General features: G+C 43.3%; 1 long non-coding RNA gene across 1 annotated transcript in view, besides 2 other annotated features; it reads left to right on the top strand.

Annotated features, from left to right (window-relative positions):
- Nucleotides 1–2,034: 2,034 nt before the first annotated feature.
- Nucleotides 2,035–13,838, top strand: part of LOC105378247 (uncharacterized) — a 39,168-nt gene continuing 27,364 nt past the window's right edge. Inside the window, exons 1-2 of the long non-coding RNA XR_944875.4 lie at nt 2,035–2,200; nt 4,143–4,348. This is a non-coding gene — a long non-coding RNA (uncharacterized LOC105378247). The remainder of the gene's footprint in view (nt 2,201–4,142; nt 4,349–13,838) is intronic.
- Nucleotides 11,477–11,526: a silencer, noted in NCBI's record as "silent region_4356". NCBI's record gives its function as "represses an Ori minimal core promoter by ATAC-STARR-seq in GM12878 lymphoblastoid cells {active_cell/tissue: GM12878}" and the evidence as "EXISTENCE:reporter gene assay evidence [ECO:0000049][PMID:35858748]".
- Nucleotides 11,717–11,766: an enhancer, noted in NCBI's record as "active region_6208". NCBI's record gives its function as "activates an Ori minimal core promoter by ATAC-STARR-seq in GM12878 lymphoblastoid cells {active_cell/tissue: GM12878}" and the evidence as "EXISTENCE:reporter gene assay evidence [ECO:0000049][PMID:35858748]".

Raw genomic sequence — 13,838 nt, 5'->3', positions numbered from 1 at the left:
AGCACAATCTGTGCCTTAGAGTCCTTGGCACCCATCCATGTTCTTCTACCCTGATATGGTATGGCTCTGTGTCCCCACTCAAATCTCATATTGAATTGTAATCCCCACATGTCAGGGGAGGGCATGGTGGGAGGTAATTGGATCATGGAGGTGGACTTCCCCCTTGCTGCTCTTGTGATAGTGAGTGAGTTCTCATGAGATCTGGTTGTTTGAAGGTGTGTGGCACTTCCCCCTTTGCTCTCTTTCTCTCTCCTGCTCTGCCATGGTAAGATGTGCTTGCTTCCCCTTCACCTTCTGCCATGATTGTAAGTTTCCTGAGGCCTCCTAGTGATGCTTCCTGTACAGCCTGTGGAACTGTGAGTGAGTCAATGAAACCTCTCTTCTTCATAAATTACCCAGTCGCAGATAGTTCTTTATAGCAGTGAACTCATATTTTGCCTTTATTTGAGTATATTTTCAGGAAAAATTCCTCACGTGGAATTGCCCTGACAGTAGATAAGCAGGAAATTTTGAAAGCTATAACCCAAACTCCTTTCCACAGAGGTGTACTTGAGAGTGCCTATTTTTCCATGCCCTTACCAAATCAGCATCTTCACCCATTCAGTAGAACTAGCCTTTAAACCCTTATCAGTCATGCTCCAAAGCCTCTGCTCTCAGGAAACACCACACTTACCACCCCTGGAAAAAAAACAAAAATCATTCTTAAAAATGTCTGAAATTCCCTTAACTAGAGTCTCATGGTTTGTAATATTAAAATAAAGACACACCCGGCAAGGTTAAGGCTATCATTCATTCACACAGCCCCATGAGTTAGCTCAACAGCATGCTCTTAAAAAGGGAGGTGACAGGATTTCAAAGGTTCAGGAAACACGGCCTAGGGCTGGCTCTGCAGTGACCGGAGCAGGGAGTTATTCTTCCGAGCTGGGTGGAAGCCCAGATGCCACCTGATCAAAACCCTTCATTGTGTTGCTGGAGAAAGAGGCCTAGAGAGGTTAATGACCGATGGGCAGAGCTGACCAGAAGAACAGGCTGGAGAGGACTGAACTTTTTGGAGTCTGATGGAGCATGTCTTATTCTCAGGCAACTAACAAATCAGGAGCACCAGAATAATTCTAGGGGGGAAAAATAAAATATTTAACAAAAATATTTACTGTTCATTATGGGAAAAATAAGGACTCTTTTGGACTTAGTTTATGGTATAATGTCATTTGTATTTTTATTTTCATAATGGTGAGGGATCACCATTCACTGTTTACAGCCTCTGTAGGGCCTAATTCAGCCTGAAATCTAGGTCTCTTGACCTAATGCTTTGTTCCTTCTTCCTCCACATGCCGTCTCTGTTTGAGCACCACTAGACATTACAATACATCAGCAGAAAATGATATTTCTGTTTCTTCACTATTTATTCTGATTTTAAGTGAAATGAATGGTGAAATACACACATTATCTATTATTTTATTTATTTATTTTTGAGATGGAGTCACGCTCTGTCACCCAGGCTGGAGTGCAGTGGTGTGATCTTGGCTCACTGTAACCTCCGCCTCCCAGGTTCAAGTGATTCACCTGCCTCAGCCTCCCGAGTAGCTGGGATTACAGGCGCCCACAACCATGCCTGGCTAATTTTTGTATTATTATTATTATTTTTTATTTTTTAATAGAGACAAGGTTTTGCCGTGTTGGCCAGGCTGGTCTAGTACTCCTGACCTCAAGTGATCCGCCCGCCTCAACCTCCGAAAGTGCTAGGATTACAGGTGGGAGCCATTGCGCTGGGCCTCAAATTATTTAAAACACATTTTTAGAATTCCTAAAAAATTTCATTGGGACTCAAAATTTCATACATTTCAAATATAAAAATGTATAAACCTAGAAAACCTCAAGTAATATAAAAATTTATGAAAATAAGCATACATTATAATAGTATAAATTATTCATCAATAAAATCTATAAAATAGTGTCTTGTTTTCTTTCTGCTTTTTCTTAGATATGGGGTCTTGCTATATTGCACAAGATGGTCTCCAACTCCTGGATTCAAGCAATCTTCCTGCCTCAGCTTCCTAAGCAGCTGGGACTACAAGTACACGTCACCACTCCTGGCTCAGACATTTTCTTTTGACTATCTTCAAGTCACCCCATCTCTTTGAAGAGTACTTTTTGAAAATTTCGTACTTTGTTTTTTTAGAGTGACAGTCTTTTTATTATGGTAAGCTGTTCTATTTTGTTTTGAAGAGAGCATTTCTGCTTGTCTTTGTTTTTCTTAGTTTCATCATGCACAGACTGAGACTTATGCTTTCAGTGGAAGCTCCAGTTGCACATCTGTTTGCTCATTGCGGCCTTTATGGGTGTAGATCTGTGTAGATGTAAAAAAATGAACACAGATTTGTTTTGTTGCATACATCAAAAATTGAGTCATTGATTTTTGAATACATAAAGGATTTAGATTTCATGTTTTTTGGAAGTATGAAAATATCAGCATCATTCAGAACTAAGTATGTATTTCAATACTTAAGAATATCATGGTTTACCAGAATACTGAACATGGTATCATAAACACTAAGTACCATACTATCAGTTTTTGATCACTTTTCTTCTTCGTTTTGTCTTTCTGCTTCCTTGGCTTATAATTCAGATTTGTAAAATAACATGAGTGTGGCTGAATTGTGAATTATGTAGACCCCTGTGACTGGACCTGAAAACTTGACCACTTTTTAGGACCACTTTTTATTTCTTTGAGGAAGTGCTTGCTTACATTTAAGCAACTGACTTAAAAATGGGCTTTTTGTATTGCAGCATGTCTACTAGTCAATGTATGAAAATATTAATTTTATATATAGTTCTTATCTACTCTACAATAAGAAAAGCTGGACAGAGACTTAACTGGTGAACAAGGATAAGAATCTAAGTCTTAACAACCAAATCAACAGCCCCTATTGAAAGCTCATTTGAGCTACTGCATTCTGCTGAGGGATGGTGCTCTTTTATAAAACTCATGTCACAGACTAAAACATTTGTCCAAACTAACTTCTCATAAACCTAGCCTCAGACGTGAAGAAGCATCTATGTAAAGACTGCGTTTACAAGGGATGTCATTCCCTATCACATCCATGTCAGTGCACCCTTGAGTGTCCTAAGTATTAGGGTGAACTATATGAAATTCCTTTGCTTTTGGTAAAAAAAAAAAAAAAATAGCCAAGCAGCAGCAGTTTCTTACAGCGTAACCTATACTTTGTTTCCTGAAGATGCTATTTCTAGCATCTTTTTCTTTCCAAATATTTTTGGGAATATTTGTAATAAAAAATAAGCATAGTTTACCTGTTTCGGTCTCTCCTACCTGAAATTATAGTAATAGAAGCTTAATTAATAAATATCCACTGGAATCAGATGTCGGGAGAAAGTGGCCAAAGGAAGCTGCCTCTGGGTATCACTGTCCAGGTCCCCATCATAGTATCTTTCTAGAATCTTAGGGATGGCGGTACTGTAGGTGAGACTTCCGAGATATTTGTGGCTGTCCTTGACATTCTGTCCACCATTTTTTTTTTCTGGTCATAACACACAAGCTCCAAATCATCTACATTAGAAAGCCAATATCTAGTCCTAAACATTACGTTTTCATTCATAGTTGAAAGAAACTCAGTGTCCCACTGTCAGCTCTGAAAATAGACTATTAAAATAGAATTACATACCAAGTGCAATTAAGAACAAATCAGCCAACTTGGTGCAAAGTTTCAGCTTTTTTAGGAAAGCAAGACATCCTTTGAACCATTTGCTTTAAATTCTAATGTTACTGTAAAAATATTTAATAACTCAAAAGGTGCTGTTTCTTTTATAACATAGTTGAATACATTTTCCTTCTTCAATAGTTCTCTTTATATTTGTATAAATATCAGCTTGTGTGTACGCCATTAATTTTATGGTACTTACAATGAATGTGAAGGAAAGCTCTGTAATTGGGGTTAGATACTTTTATTATGAAATGCATGCCCTAGTTTAGTGCATACATTAAAACATTATAACTAGGTTTGAATTTCTAATTTCATTTTTGTCTGAAATCAAAGAAATTTTATCTAGACTATCATACCTAAAGAAAACAAAATAAATACGAAAGCTCGCACTGTAACAAATAAATCTCATGTATTCCTTTATAGTGGAGAGAATTGCTTTGCAAAGGAGTCCAGGTCCCACCGGAAGGACCCCCTTCCATACACCGTAGCAATTCCGTAGCAGCCTCGACTCTCCCCTCGACGGACAGCAGATGGCGCTGCGCTTCCCATTTTGCCGCCTCGGTGGCGGGACAGGAATCCAACTTTGGCAGAGCTGAGTTGAAGATTGCAAGCGACCTATTCCGAGCTGGGTGAGCAAAGGAAACTACGCATTTAGAATCACAGTTTACCTCGCTTCATACTGATCTGTGCTCTGGAGGACGTGCAGTTTCTGTTACATGTGATCCAGGGGGCTGCGTGTGTTGGATTAACCGGGCTCATTACGTCTTACAAATTGCTTGTCAGGAGAAGGCAGCTCGGGGCAGGTTGAAAGACTGTTATCAGCAGCACTCAACAAACATCAGCGAACGGACACTCTCTTCTTCATCATAACCAATTTGTATTTATGAAAGATCCCTTGGTGCTCTTTAGTGGGCTGCAGTGAGAAGATGTGATTTGGAACTTTGAGAAGTTTGTGGTCAAGAAGGTGACCTGCAGATATTCAGTCAAAACTAAACAACCACAGCCACACTTCTCTGCGTTCCTGCTTCATCCACTCATTGTGCCCAGGGCTCCCCAGCAATCTCTCCGCTCTTTAGTCTTTTGGTTTGTGTCTGCTTTCTTCTTCTAGGTCTGTTCCTTTGGCTAAATTTGCATGTGTTGACCGTGGCAAACAGATATATTTAGCTTTATTTTCTTAAATAACTTATAGAAATGCTTTTTGGGTGGGAAAGTGATGACATTAAGTATAATAATCATGTAGTTTTCAGCTAGTTGGGATCTTAGGGATTATTTAACTCAACTGATTAAATAATACTGTGAGAAAGTGACGCCTGGCCATGTGCAATGCCGTGCTCAGTTCACATAGAGGCAGAGTGAGAACTCTGACCCAGGTTTCTTGAGGATCAGTCTAACAACCCATCTGATGTTATGCTCGATTATATTTTTAAACAAGTACAGATCATAAATGTCAAGGTTAATTTATTTCCCTGCCATGCGGATCATGGATGGATATTGGTCACACTCATCGCACAGCCATACGTGCAAATCCCTCCCCACCATTCCCATCAGAGTCAGTGGCTTGGTTCTCTTTGCTGCTGTTCCCTTTGTTCACACCTATACCAGGCACTAGCCCCGTTGTGCTGGAGTTTCCTCTCTAGACTATGAGATTGCTAGGAACAGGCATGCCATCTCACTCATGTTTGTGCCCTCTGTGCCCTGCGTAGTGCCTGACACCTCATAAGCTCTCAGAAATGTTGACTGAATGAATGAACTTTTGGTGGAGACTACCTTGAACATAGCAAACCAGGGTACGGTGGGAAGCCCTCCTCAGGCTCTGGACATAGAGACACGCTGGAAATATAAGAGAAAGCCTTGAATGTATAGCTCAGCTTGAAAGTGAGAAAAGACACCCTTACATGCTAAAAACAAAACAAAACAAAAAACAAAAGCAACAGCCAGAATTCAGAGTGTTGCAGAGTAGAAGCAGAACAGGACCTAAGTAGGTGGCGGGAAAGGAGACATTTTCAGCAGGATGAATTGCAAGTGAGTTTATATCCATAGAACCTTACAGGACAGGCAGCCATTCTATGTACCTGAGCTTTGTTTTATATCTGGATGCAAGGCCCTGGAACTAGGGCATAAAAAGTTGCTTAATGACTGCATGCTTTTGGAACCCCTTCTTTTGTGGACCTCCAAGGTGCCACATAAGCTGCTTTGGCTTTATATATTTTGGAGGGTAACTGATGGTAGAGACCATCCAGTAAGTCAGTGAAGGACAGGGGTCCCTGAAGTCACTTTAAACTACTGTGGTCTCTACAGGAAACAAAGGAAAAACCAAAAATTAGCCAACAGGCTGTTTAATAAACCAAGTGTCTTATTCCAGATGAGGCTAGCCCATTTACCTCAAATGTATAGTTTATGGATGTTTGTCATCCTGTTCTTTTTTTATTTGTGTAATGGGAAAAATTTGCAATCACAAAATATGTTCTGCAAGAGATTTCATATTTCATTTAAAAAATTCAACAGAAACATGATTGTGAGTGCTCTATATCCCAGGGTTTGGAAGAAATTTACAGTCATTATTGGGGATCCTTCCAACTCCCTTGGGTTGTATAATAATATGGTTTGGATTTCTGTCCCCAACCAAATCTCATGTTGAATTGGAAGAGGTTCCTGGTGGGAGGTGATTGGATCATGAAAGCTCATTTCTCCCTTGCTGTTCTTGTGGTAGTGAGTGAGTTCTCACGAGATCTGATGGGGTTTAAAAGTGTGGGGCACATGGCCGGGAGCGGTGGCTCACACCTGTAATCCCAGTACTTTGGAAGGCCGAGGCTGGTGGATCACGAGATCGGGAGATCGAGACCATCCTAGCTAACATGGTGAAACCCCATCTCTACTAAAAATATAAAAAATTAGCCAGGCATGGTGTTGGGCGCCTGTAATCCCAGCTACTCAGGAGGCTGAGGCAGGAGAATGGTGTGAACCTGGGAGGCGGAGCTTGCAGTGAGCGGAGATCGCGCCACTGCACTCCAGCCTGGGCGACAGAGCAAGACTCCAGCTCAAAAAAAAAAAAAAAAAAAAAAAAAAAGCGTGTGGCACATCTCCCCTCTTTGCTGTCTCTCTCCCCTGCCACCATATCAAGAAGTGCTTGCTTCCCTTTCGACTTCTGCTGATTGTTTAAGTTTCCTGAGGCCTCCCAGTCATGCTTCCTGTTAAACCTGTGGGGCTGTGAGTCAAACCTTTTTCTTCATAAATTACCCAGTCTCAGGGTTTTTTTTTTTTTTTTTTTTTGAGACAGGGTCTCACTCTGTTGCCTAGGCTGGAATGCAGTGGCATGATAGACTGGAATGCAGTGGCACGATTTCAGCTTACTGTAACCTCTGCCTCCCAGGTTCAAGTTACTCTCCTGCCTCAGCCTCTTGAGTGGCTCGGATTATAGGCATGCACCACCAAGCCTGGCTAATTTTTGTATTTTTAGTAGAGAAGAGGTTTCACCATGTTGGTCAGTCTGGTCTCGAATTCCTGACCTCAAGTAATCCACCCGCCTAGGCCTCCCAAAGTGCTGAGATTATAGGCGTGAGCCACCACGCCTGGCTTCAGGTAGTTCTTTATAGCAGTGTGAAAACAGACTAATACATATAAGAAGAAAGGCGCCTTAGTGGTGCCTTAGTTTATGGGGAGGATCATCCAGCCTCAGTCCAGCATGGTCACAGCTGGCACCTGCTCTGCCCAAGCCATGTGTCTTGGTGGCAGGCAGCTCTGTGACTTCTGGGCTAAGTTCAGGCACAAGAAACTTGCCCAGCTCAGAGAGCCCCACATTCAGAGGCCTGACCTGAATGAGCCTTCACTAATTGCATTCCTTCCTTTCCTGTAGCATAAAATACGCAGAAGAAATACACAGTGTAGTATTTCAAAATATTATCCTGCCCCACCTATGGGATAGGGACAATGACATCTGTCCTACTCTCCCTTTCTCAAGGATGTTGAAAGGATTGGGTGAGCTGGGTCTGTGCGAACACTTTTTCAGTTATAAAATGGTGGACGCTGCGGGAGTCACAGCTCCTATGGGGGCTGAGACCGGTGGAAGATGCCATGTGGGGTCTGACATTGTCCCACCCTAAGGGTTTTCCTCCAGCATGCTTGTTTCCTTGGGTTGAACACCAGATGACCTAGAGGTGTTCATTTGTGTTTAGGGATTGTGTTATCCAAAAACACATGCCTTTAAATCCTAGAATCACGTTCAGTGAGACGAGACGGTCTCATGATGAAAGCATCTGAGAATGGAGTCCCATGGAGTGAACGATGTTGTCATGTTTCAGCTCACTTGCGCATTCCATGTCATGTTTGCATTAAAAGGATAGGTCAGAGGCCAAGAGTGGTGGCTCTCACCTGTAATGTCAGCATTTTGGGAGACCTAGGCAGCAGGATCACTTCAGCCCAGGAGTTTGAGACAAAGCTGGACAAGGTAATGAGAACCCAACTCGACAAAATAAAAATAAATAAATAAATAAATAAATAAATAAATAAATAAATAGGCCAGGCGCAGTGGCATGTGCCTGTAGTCGCTGTTACTTTGGGGACTGAGGTGGGAGGATCACTTGAGCTTGGAAGGTTGAGGTTGCAGTGAGCTATAAGTGAACCACTGCACTCTAGCCTGGTGACAGAGCAAGACCCTGTCTCAAAAAAAAAAAAAAAAAAAAAAGGATTGGTCAGAGATGTTGCCTGTACTATTTAAATGGTTGCTCCCTCTCACTTTTTTTTCTCTCTGTATTTTTCTCTCTTCTTTTTCTTTTTATTCCTGGAAAATTTATGGTTGAATTCAAGTTAATCTGAATATGTGACTCCTCGTGTTAGAGAGAATCACAAGGTTTGAAATCAAAAGACTTGGCTTCAGGTTCCAGGTCTGCCACTTACATACTGAGTGACCTTGAGCAATTCAGCCTTTCTCAGTGGCCTGTTTCTAACCTGCAGACTTTGGGCTGACAATGCTGATCTCTCGGTGGGGATGAAAGGCAACAGTGAGGTCGTATGTATGGAAGCACACTGTGAATGTAAACTGCTTGACAGGACTTAGTTATTGTGACTGATTGTGCTTTTTTGATGTTTTTGACCTGTATCTTTAATATCCTGTGACTGCTGGACATCAATAGCTGGTTAAATACTGTTTTATCCCTCACCCAAGAGTTTTGGAGCTATAAAAAAACAAATTAGCTCTTAAATCCATGGAAAGTAAAAGCTGTGGTTTTTTTGTTTGTTTGTTTGTTTGTTTGTTTGTTTTTTGAGATAGAGTCTTGTCTCGTCTCCCAGGCTGGAGTGCAGTGGTGTGATCTTGGCTCACTGAAACCTCTGCCTCTTGGGTTCAATCGATTCTCCCAGCTTAGCCTTCCGAGCAGCTGAGATTACAGGTGTGTGCTTCCATGCCTGGCTAATTTTTGTATTTTTAGTAGAGACGGGGTTTCACCATGTTGCCCAGGCTGGTCTCAAACTCCTGGCCTCATGTGATCCATTTGCCTCGGCCTCCCAAAGTGCTGGGATTACAGATGTGCTGCCACCGCATCCTGCCAAAAGTTAATATTTTGAGTTTCTTGTACTGACTGGGGACACTGTTAGGAGCAGGGTTTAAGAGTCTGTTTAAAACTCTCCAGGGAGCACAGGTGTCCCCTAGGCTCCCTCCAACCTGAGGAAAAGGGGCTTTGATGAGGGTGTAGGGCTAAAGGGGTTTCCAGGGATACACCTGGGCTGCAAGGCTCCAGGGCAGGGGTGTAAGAATGGTGGTGGGGCCAGCAGGTTACAGCCTCAGGGCTGACTGCTACTCTCCCCTGCTAGCCTATGAGGCTGGTGTCATAGCAAGGCTTGAGCTGCTTCCAAGTTGGTCCAAGTTACTTGGAGGGACTCTTGCCCTCTGATGTCTGGGGGCTGGATAACAACAGAATTTATTATCCAAACCTGGACATGAGTGGGAAAGGGTCTGTTACGAATAATTACACAGAACTAGCCCAGGCAAACCAAGAGGGGGTTACCCTACCTATGAATGTGGTTTAGGGAAGACCCTTCTCTTGGTCCTCTTTTTCTTGGCTTCCTTTTTCTTTTATTCCTTTTTTTTTTTGAGATGGGGTCTTGCTCTGTCACCCCGGCTGGAGTGCAGTGGTGCAATCATGGCTCACTGCAGCCTCGACTTCATGGGCTCAGGTGATTCTCCCATCTCAGCCTCCTGAATAGCTGAGACTACAGGCGTGCATGACCACACCCAGCTAAATTTTTTTGTAGTTTTTGTAGACGCGGTGTTTTGCCCTGTTGCCCAGGCTGGTCTCAAAACTCCTGGGCTCAAGCAACCCTCCCAACTCAGCTCACACCTGTGCTGGGATTACAGGTGTGAGCTACCATGCCTGGCCTTCCTTTTTCTTTACATCTTTCCACAGCGTGGTGAAACCCCAAGAGCTAAGAGAAGAGTGGACCCAGGGAAGAGGCCATGAGGGGTCTCCCAGCCTGGGCTTCTGGTCCAAGTGCAACAGGATTAGGCATTTCACATAAGGCTTTCAGCAGATACTTAGACTCATCAGCAGTGAGCCCTTGACTGGCCTTGTTTTCCATCCTCCTCAGGTGCCCAGCTGGAGCTGAGGCTGGCTGTGGTAGGATGGGTACCAGAGGTCCTCATTTCCATTTCATTCATCACAAAGGTCTTCCCTAAACCACATTCATAGGTAGGGTGGCCCCCATCTTGGTTTGCCTGGGCCGGTCCTGTGTAATTATTCATAACAGACCCTTTCCCACTCATGTCCAGGTTTGGATAATAAATTCTGTTGTTACCCAGTCCCTAGACATCAGAGGGCAAGAGTTCCTCCAAGTAACTTGGACCAACTTGGAAGCAGCTCGAGCCTTCCTATGACACCAGCCTCACAGGCTAGCAGGGGAGAGTAGCAGTCAGCCCTGAGGCTGTAACCTGCTGGCCCCACCACCATTCTTACACCCCTGCCCTGGAGCCTTGCAGCCCAGGTGTATCTCTGGAAACCCCTTTAGCCCTACACCCTCATCAAAGCCCCTTTTCCTCAGGTTGGAGGGAGGCTAGGGGACACCTGTGCTCCCTGGAGAGTTTTAAACAGACTCTTAAACCCTGCTCCTAACAGTGTCCCCAGTCAGTACAAGAAACTCAAAATATTAACTTTGGGCAGGGCGAGGTGGCAGCACATCTGTAATCCCAGCACTTTGGGAGGCTGAGGCAGGTGGATCACATGATCCACCATGTCAAATAATAATTTATAAGAACTAACATTTATTAAACACTTACAGTGAAAGCTTGCTAAGAAGTTTATGTGGATTATCTCACTTAATCCATGGAACCGTCCCTCTAGGGGAGTTATTATTGTGTCCATTTTGCAGATGAGACAGCTGAGGTTAGGAGGATAAGTTGCCAAGCTCTCACAGCCAATAAGTGGCAGATCTGGATTTGAATTTGGGGTCTGCCTGGAGAACAAACTTTTAACCATGATACTGTCAGCCACAGCTCCATCTGGAAGGAGCTTACTGCCCGGGAGAGACAGTGAAGTACACTTTGCTGTAAAAAACTCTGTAATAGAGACATATCCACATCAGAATAGGGGCACGGACAGGGAGCGACTCCTCTTGCTAGGAGGAGCTGAACAAGCTGCAGGAGTGACATTTTTAGCTTCCTCATCTTGGCTACACTGTCTTGCTCCCAGCTGGTTTCAGCTTGCTTCCTCTCACTCTCTGCTGCTCACTCGCCTCACAGTGTAACTAGGCTTCCCTGTGACTCCTCTCACCTCTTCCTAAAGGTGGGCAGTTTTCTTCTGCTGAACATCTGGAAATATGTCAATGCAGAGGTAACTCAAAAAGCCAACTAAGGCTGGGCGCAGTGGCTCACGCCTGTAATCCCAGAACTTTTGGAAGACAAGGCGGGCAGATCACTTGAGGCCAGGAGTTCAAGACAAGCCTGGCCAACATGGTGAAACCCCGTCTCTACTAAAAATACAAAAATCAGCCAGGCGTGGTGGCGCACCTGTAGTTCCAGCTACTCAGGAGGCTGAGGCACAAGAATCCTTTGAACCCTAGAGATGGAGGTTGCAGTGAGGAGAGATGAAGGTTGCAGTGAGCTGAGATTGTGCCACTGTACTCCAGCCTGGGCGACACAGTGAGATTCTGTCTCAAAAAAAAAAAAATCAACTAAAGGGAGACATTTATGAAGACTTTCTGATATTCTGTGTGAAAATATTTGCACACATTCACTGGGGATGCCTTCCCAACTAATTTCCAATGGAACTCAGGGCTGGACATATGCTTTAAATGCTTGACTATTCTAGGCTTAAATAAGTAATGCATCGAAACAACAGCAAAAATAGATACTTGCAGCAGAAATTTCGGTGCAAAATTTGGCTTGTACCAAACATGTGTATAGTCTTTTTTTGTTTGTTTGTTTGAAGTAAGAGATGGGTCAGATTGGTGGAAGACAACTGATACTTATCAAAGTATGTCAGTTAGGCTATTTGTTAAAATTCAGATACCTGCACTCAATCCAAAAATTCTTATTCTCAGACAAGATTTTGGGGGTGGTGGAGTCCAGGAATCTGTATTTAAAAAGATTTCAGATGATTAAAAAAAAATGCCAACTAGTCAGGGCAAGGTGGCTCACGCCTGTAATCCCAGCACTTTGGGAGGCCGAGGCAGGCAGATCACCTGAGGGTCAGAAGTTCAAGACTAGTCTGGCCAACATGGCGAAACCCTGTCTGTAAGGGGTGGCATGTGCCTGTAATCCCAGCTACTCAGGAGGCTGAGAAATCACTTGAACCCAGGAGGCGGAGGTTGCAGTGAGCCAAGATCACGCCACTGCACTCCAGCCTGGGTGACAGAGCAAGACTCCATCTCAAAAAAGAAAAGAAAAGAAAAAAAATGCCAACTAAAGTTTGAGATCCATTACTTTTAATTAATTAATTAATTAATCTAGCCATTCAATATTTAATAAACTCTGTGATCTGCCAGTTTTTTTTCTTTTTTGATTCCTCAGCTCTTTGAATTCTCTGCCAGTCATTTTATGGGTTATAATGACATGGTCTCTTCATTTCAAGGACTCACATGTCAGTGAGAGACATATAAGGAGGGTCCACAGAGCAGGCAAGTTATATTATCTAACCACTCTAGGAATCCTGGAATCTCCTGGCTGACCTTCAAGGTATGAGACTCTGTAATTAGAACCTTTTAAATAGGCTCCTTTTTAGCCTGGGCAACATTGTGAGACCCCATCTCTACAAAAAATTTTAAAAAAATTAGCTGGGCATGGTGGTGCATGCCTGTAATCCCAGCTACAGGGGGGACTGAGATGAGAGAGGATTGCTTGAGCCCAGGCATTCAAGGCTGCAGTGAGCTGTGATTGTGCCACTGTACTCCAGCTGGGGTGACAGAGTGGCACTCTGTCTCAAAAAAAAAAAAAAAGCTCCTTGGAAGAAATTTTGGAGAGCAGTTGTTCTGTCTGTCATTTTGTGAAACAGAGAGATTATACTCTCACAGCAGAGCCAAAAGTGAATCCTGAATTCTACAGGAAATGAGCAGGGTAGGCAGGGAACAGCACCAAGGAGTCTGGATTGTGCTCCTGAGCCCTGGGCTGGAGTGGGTTGGGAGAGATATCTGGTGCTGCCTAGCAAATGTCTCTTAGCTTGGTGTCAGATGCCAGGGGAGCTTAAAAATACACAAAAGAGCCAAGCTTCCCTTTTGTGGGAATTCTAGCTGGGTTGGAACCTTTTCCCACCATGGTAAGAGAGAAGCAGCTGCCTTAGCAGTGAGAGGAAGCCACACAGGGCCTTTGATTTGCATGTGTCCACAGGCATCAGTTCAGTTCAATGAGCTGATGAAATTGATTTTCTCACTGCATTGACTGGTTGTCAAACTGAATTGCTGTGGTGATTGGCTGGTTCAGCATCTTGCAGATATAGCCACCAACTCCAATGACTCGATCACATTCTAAAAAATGAATTTCACAAAGGTGCTGTTTTTAAACCAAGTTTCAATTCATTTTGAGAAAGTTGGGCATTCGCTAAAAAGTAGGTAAAAAACCCTCTTACTTGATGACATTGACAAACACTTGGTATAAAACATTCAAGGTGTCACATAAGAATTAATTTGGCTGAACTTTAC

This window comes from Homo sapiens, chromosome 12 (assembly GCF_000001405.40).
Source record: "Homo sapiens chromosome 12, GRCh38.p14 Primary Assembly".
In the NCBI taxonomy this organism is placed as follows: domain Eukaryota; kingdom Metazoa; phylum Chordata; class Mammalia; order Primates; family Hominidae; genus Homo; species Homo sapiens.
This window is presented reverse-complemented; position numbering and strand designations above follow the sequence as displayed.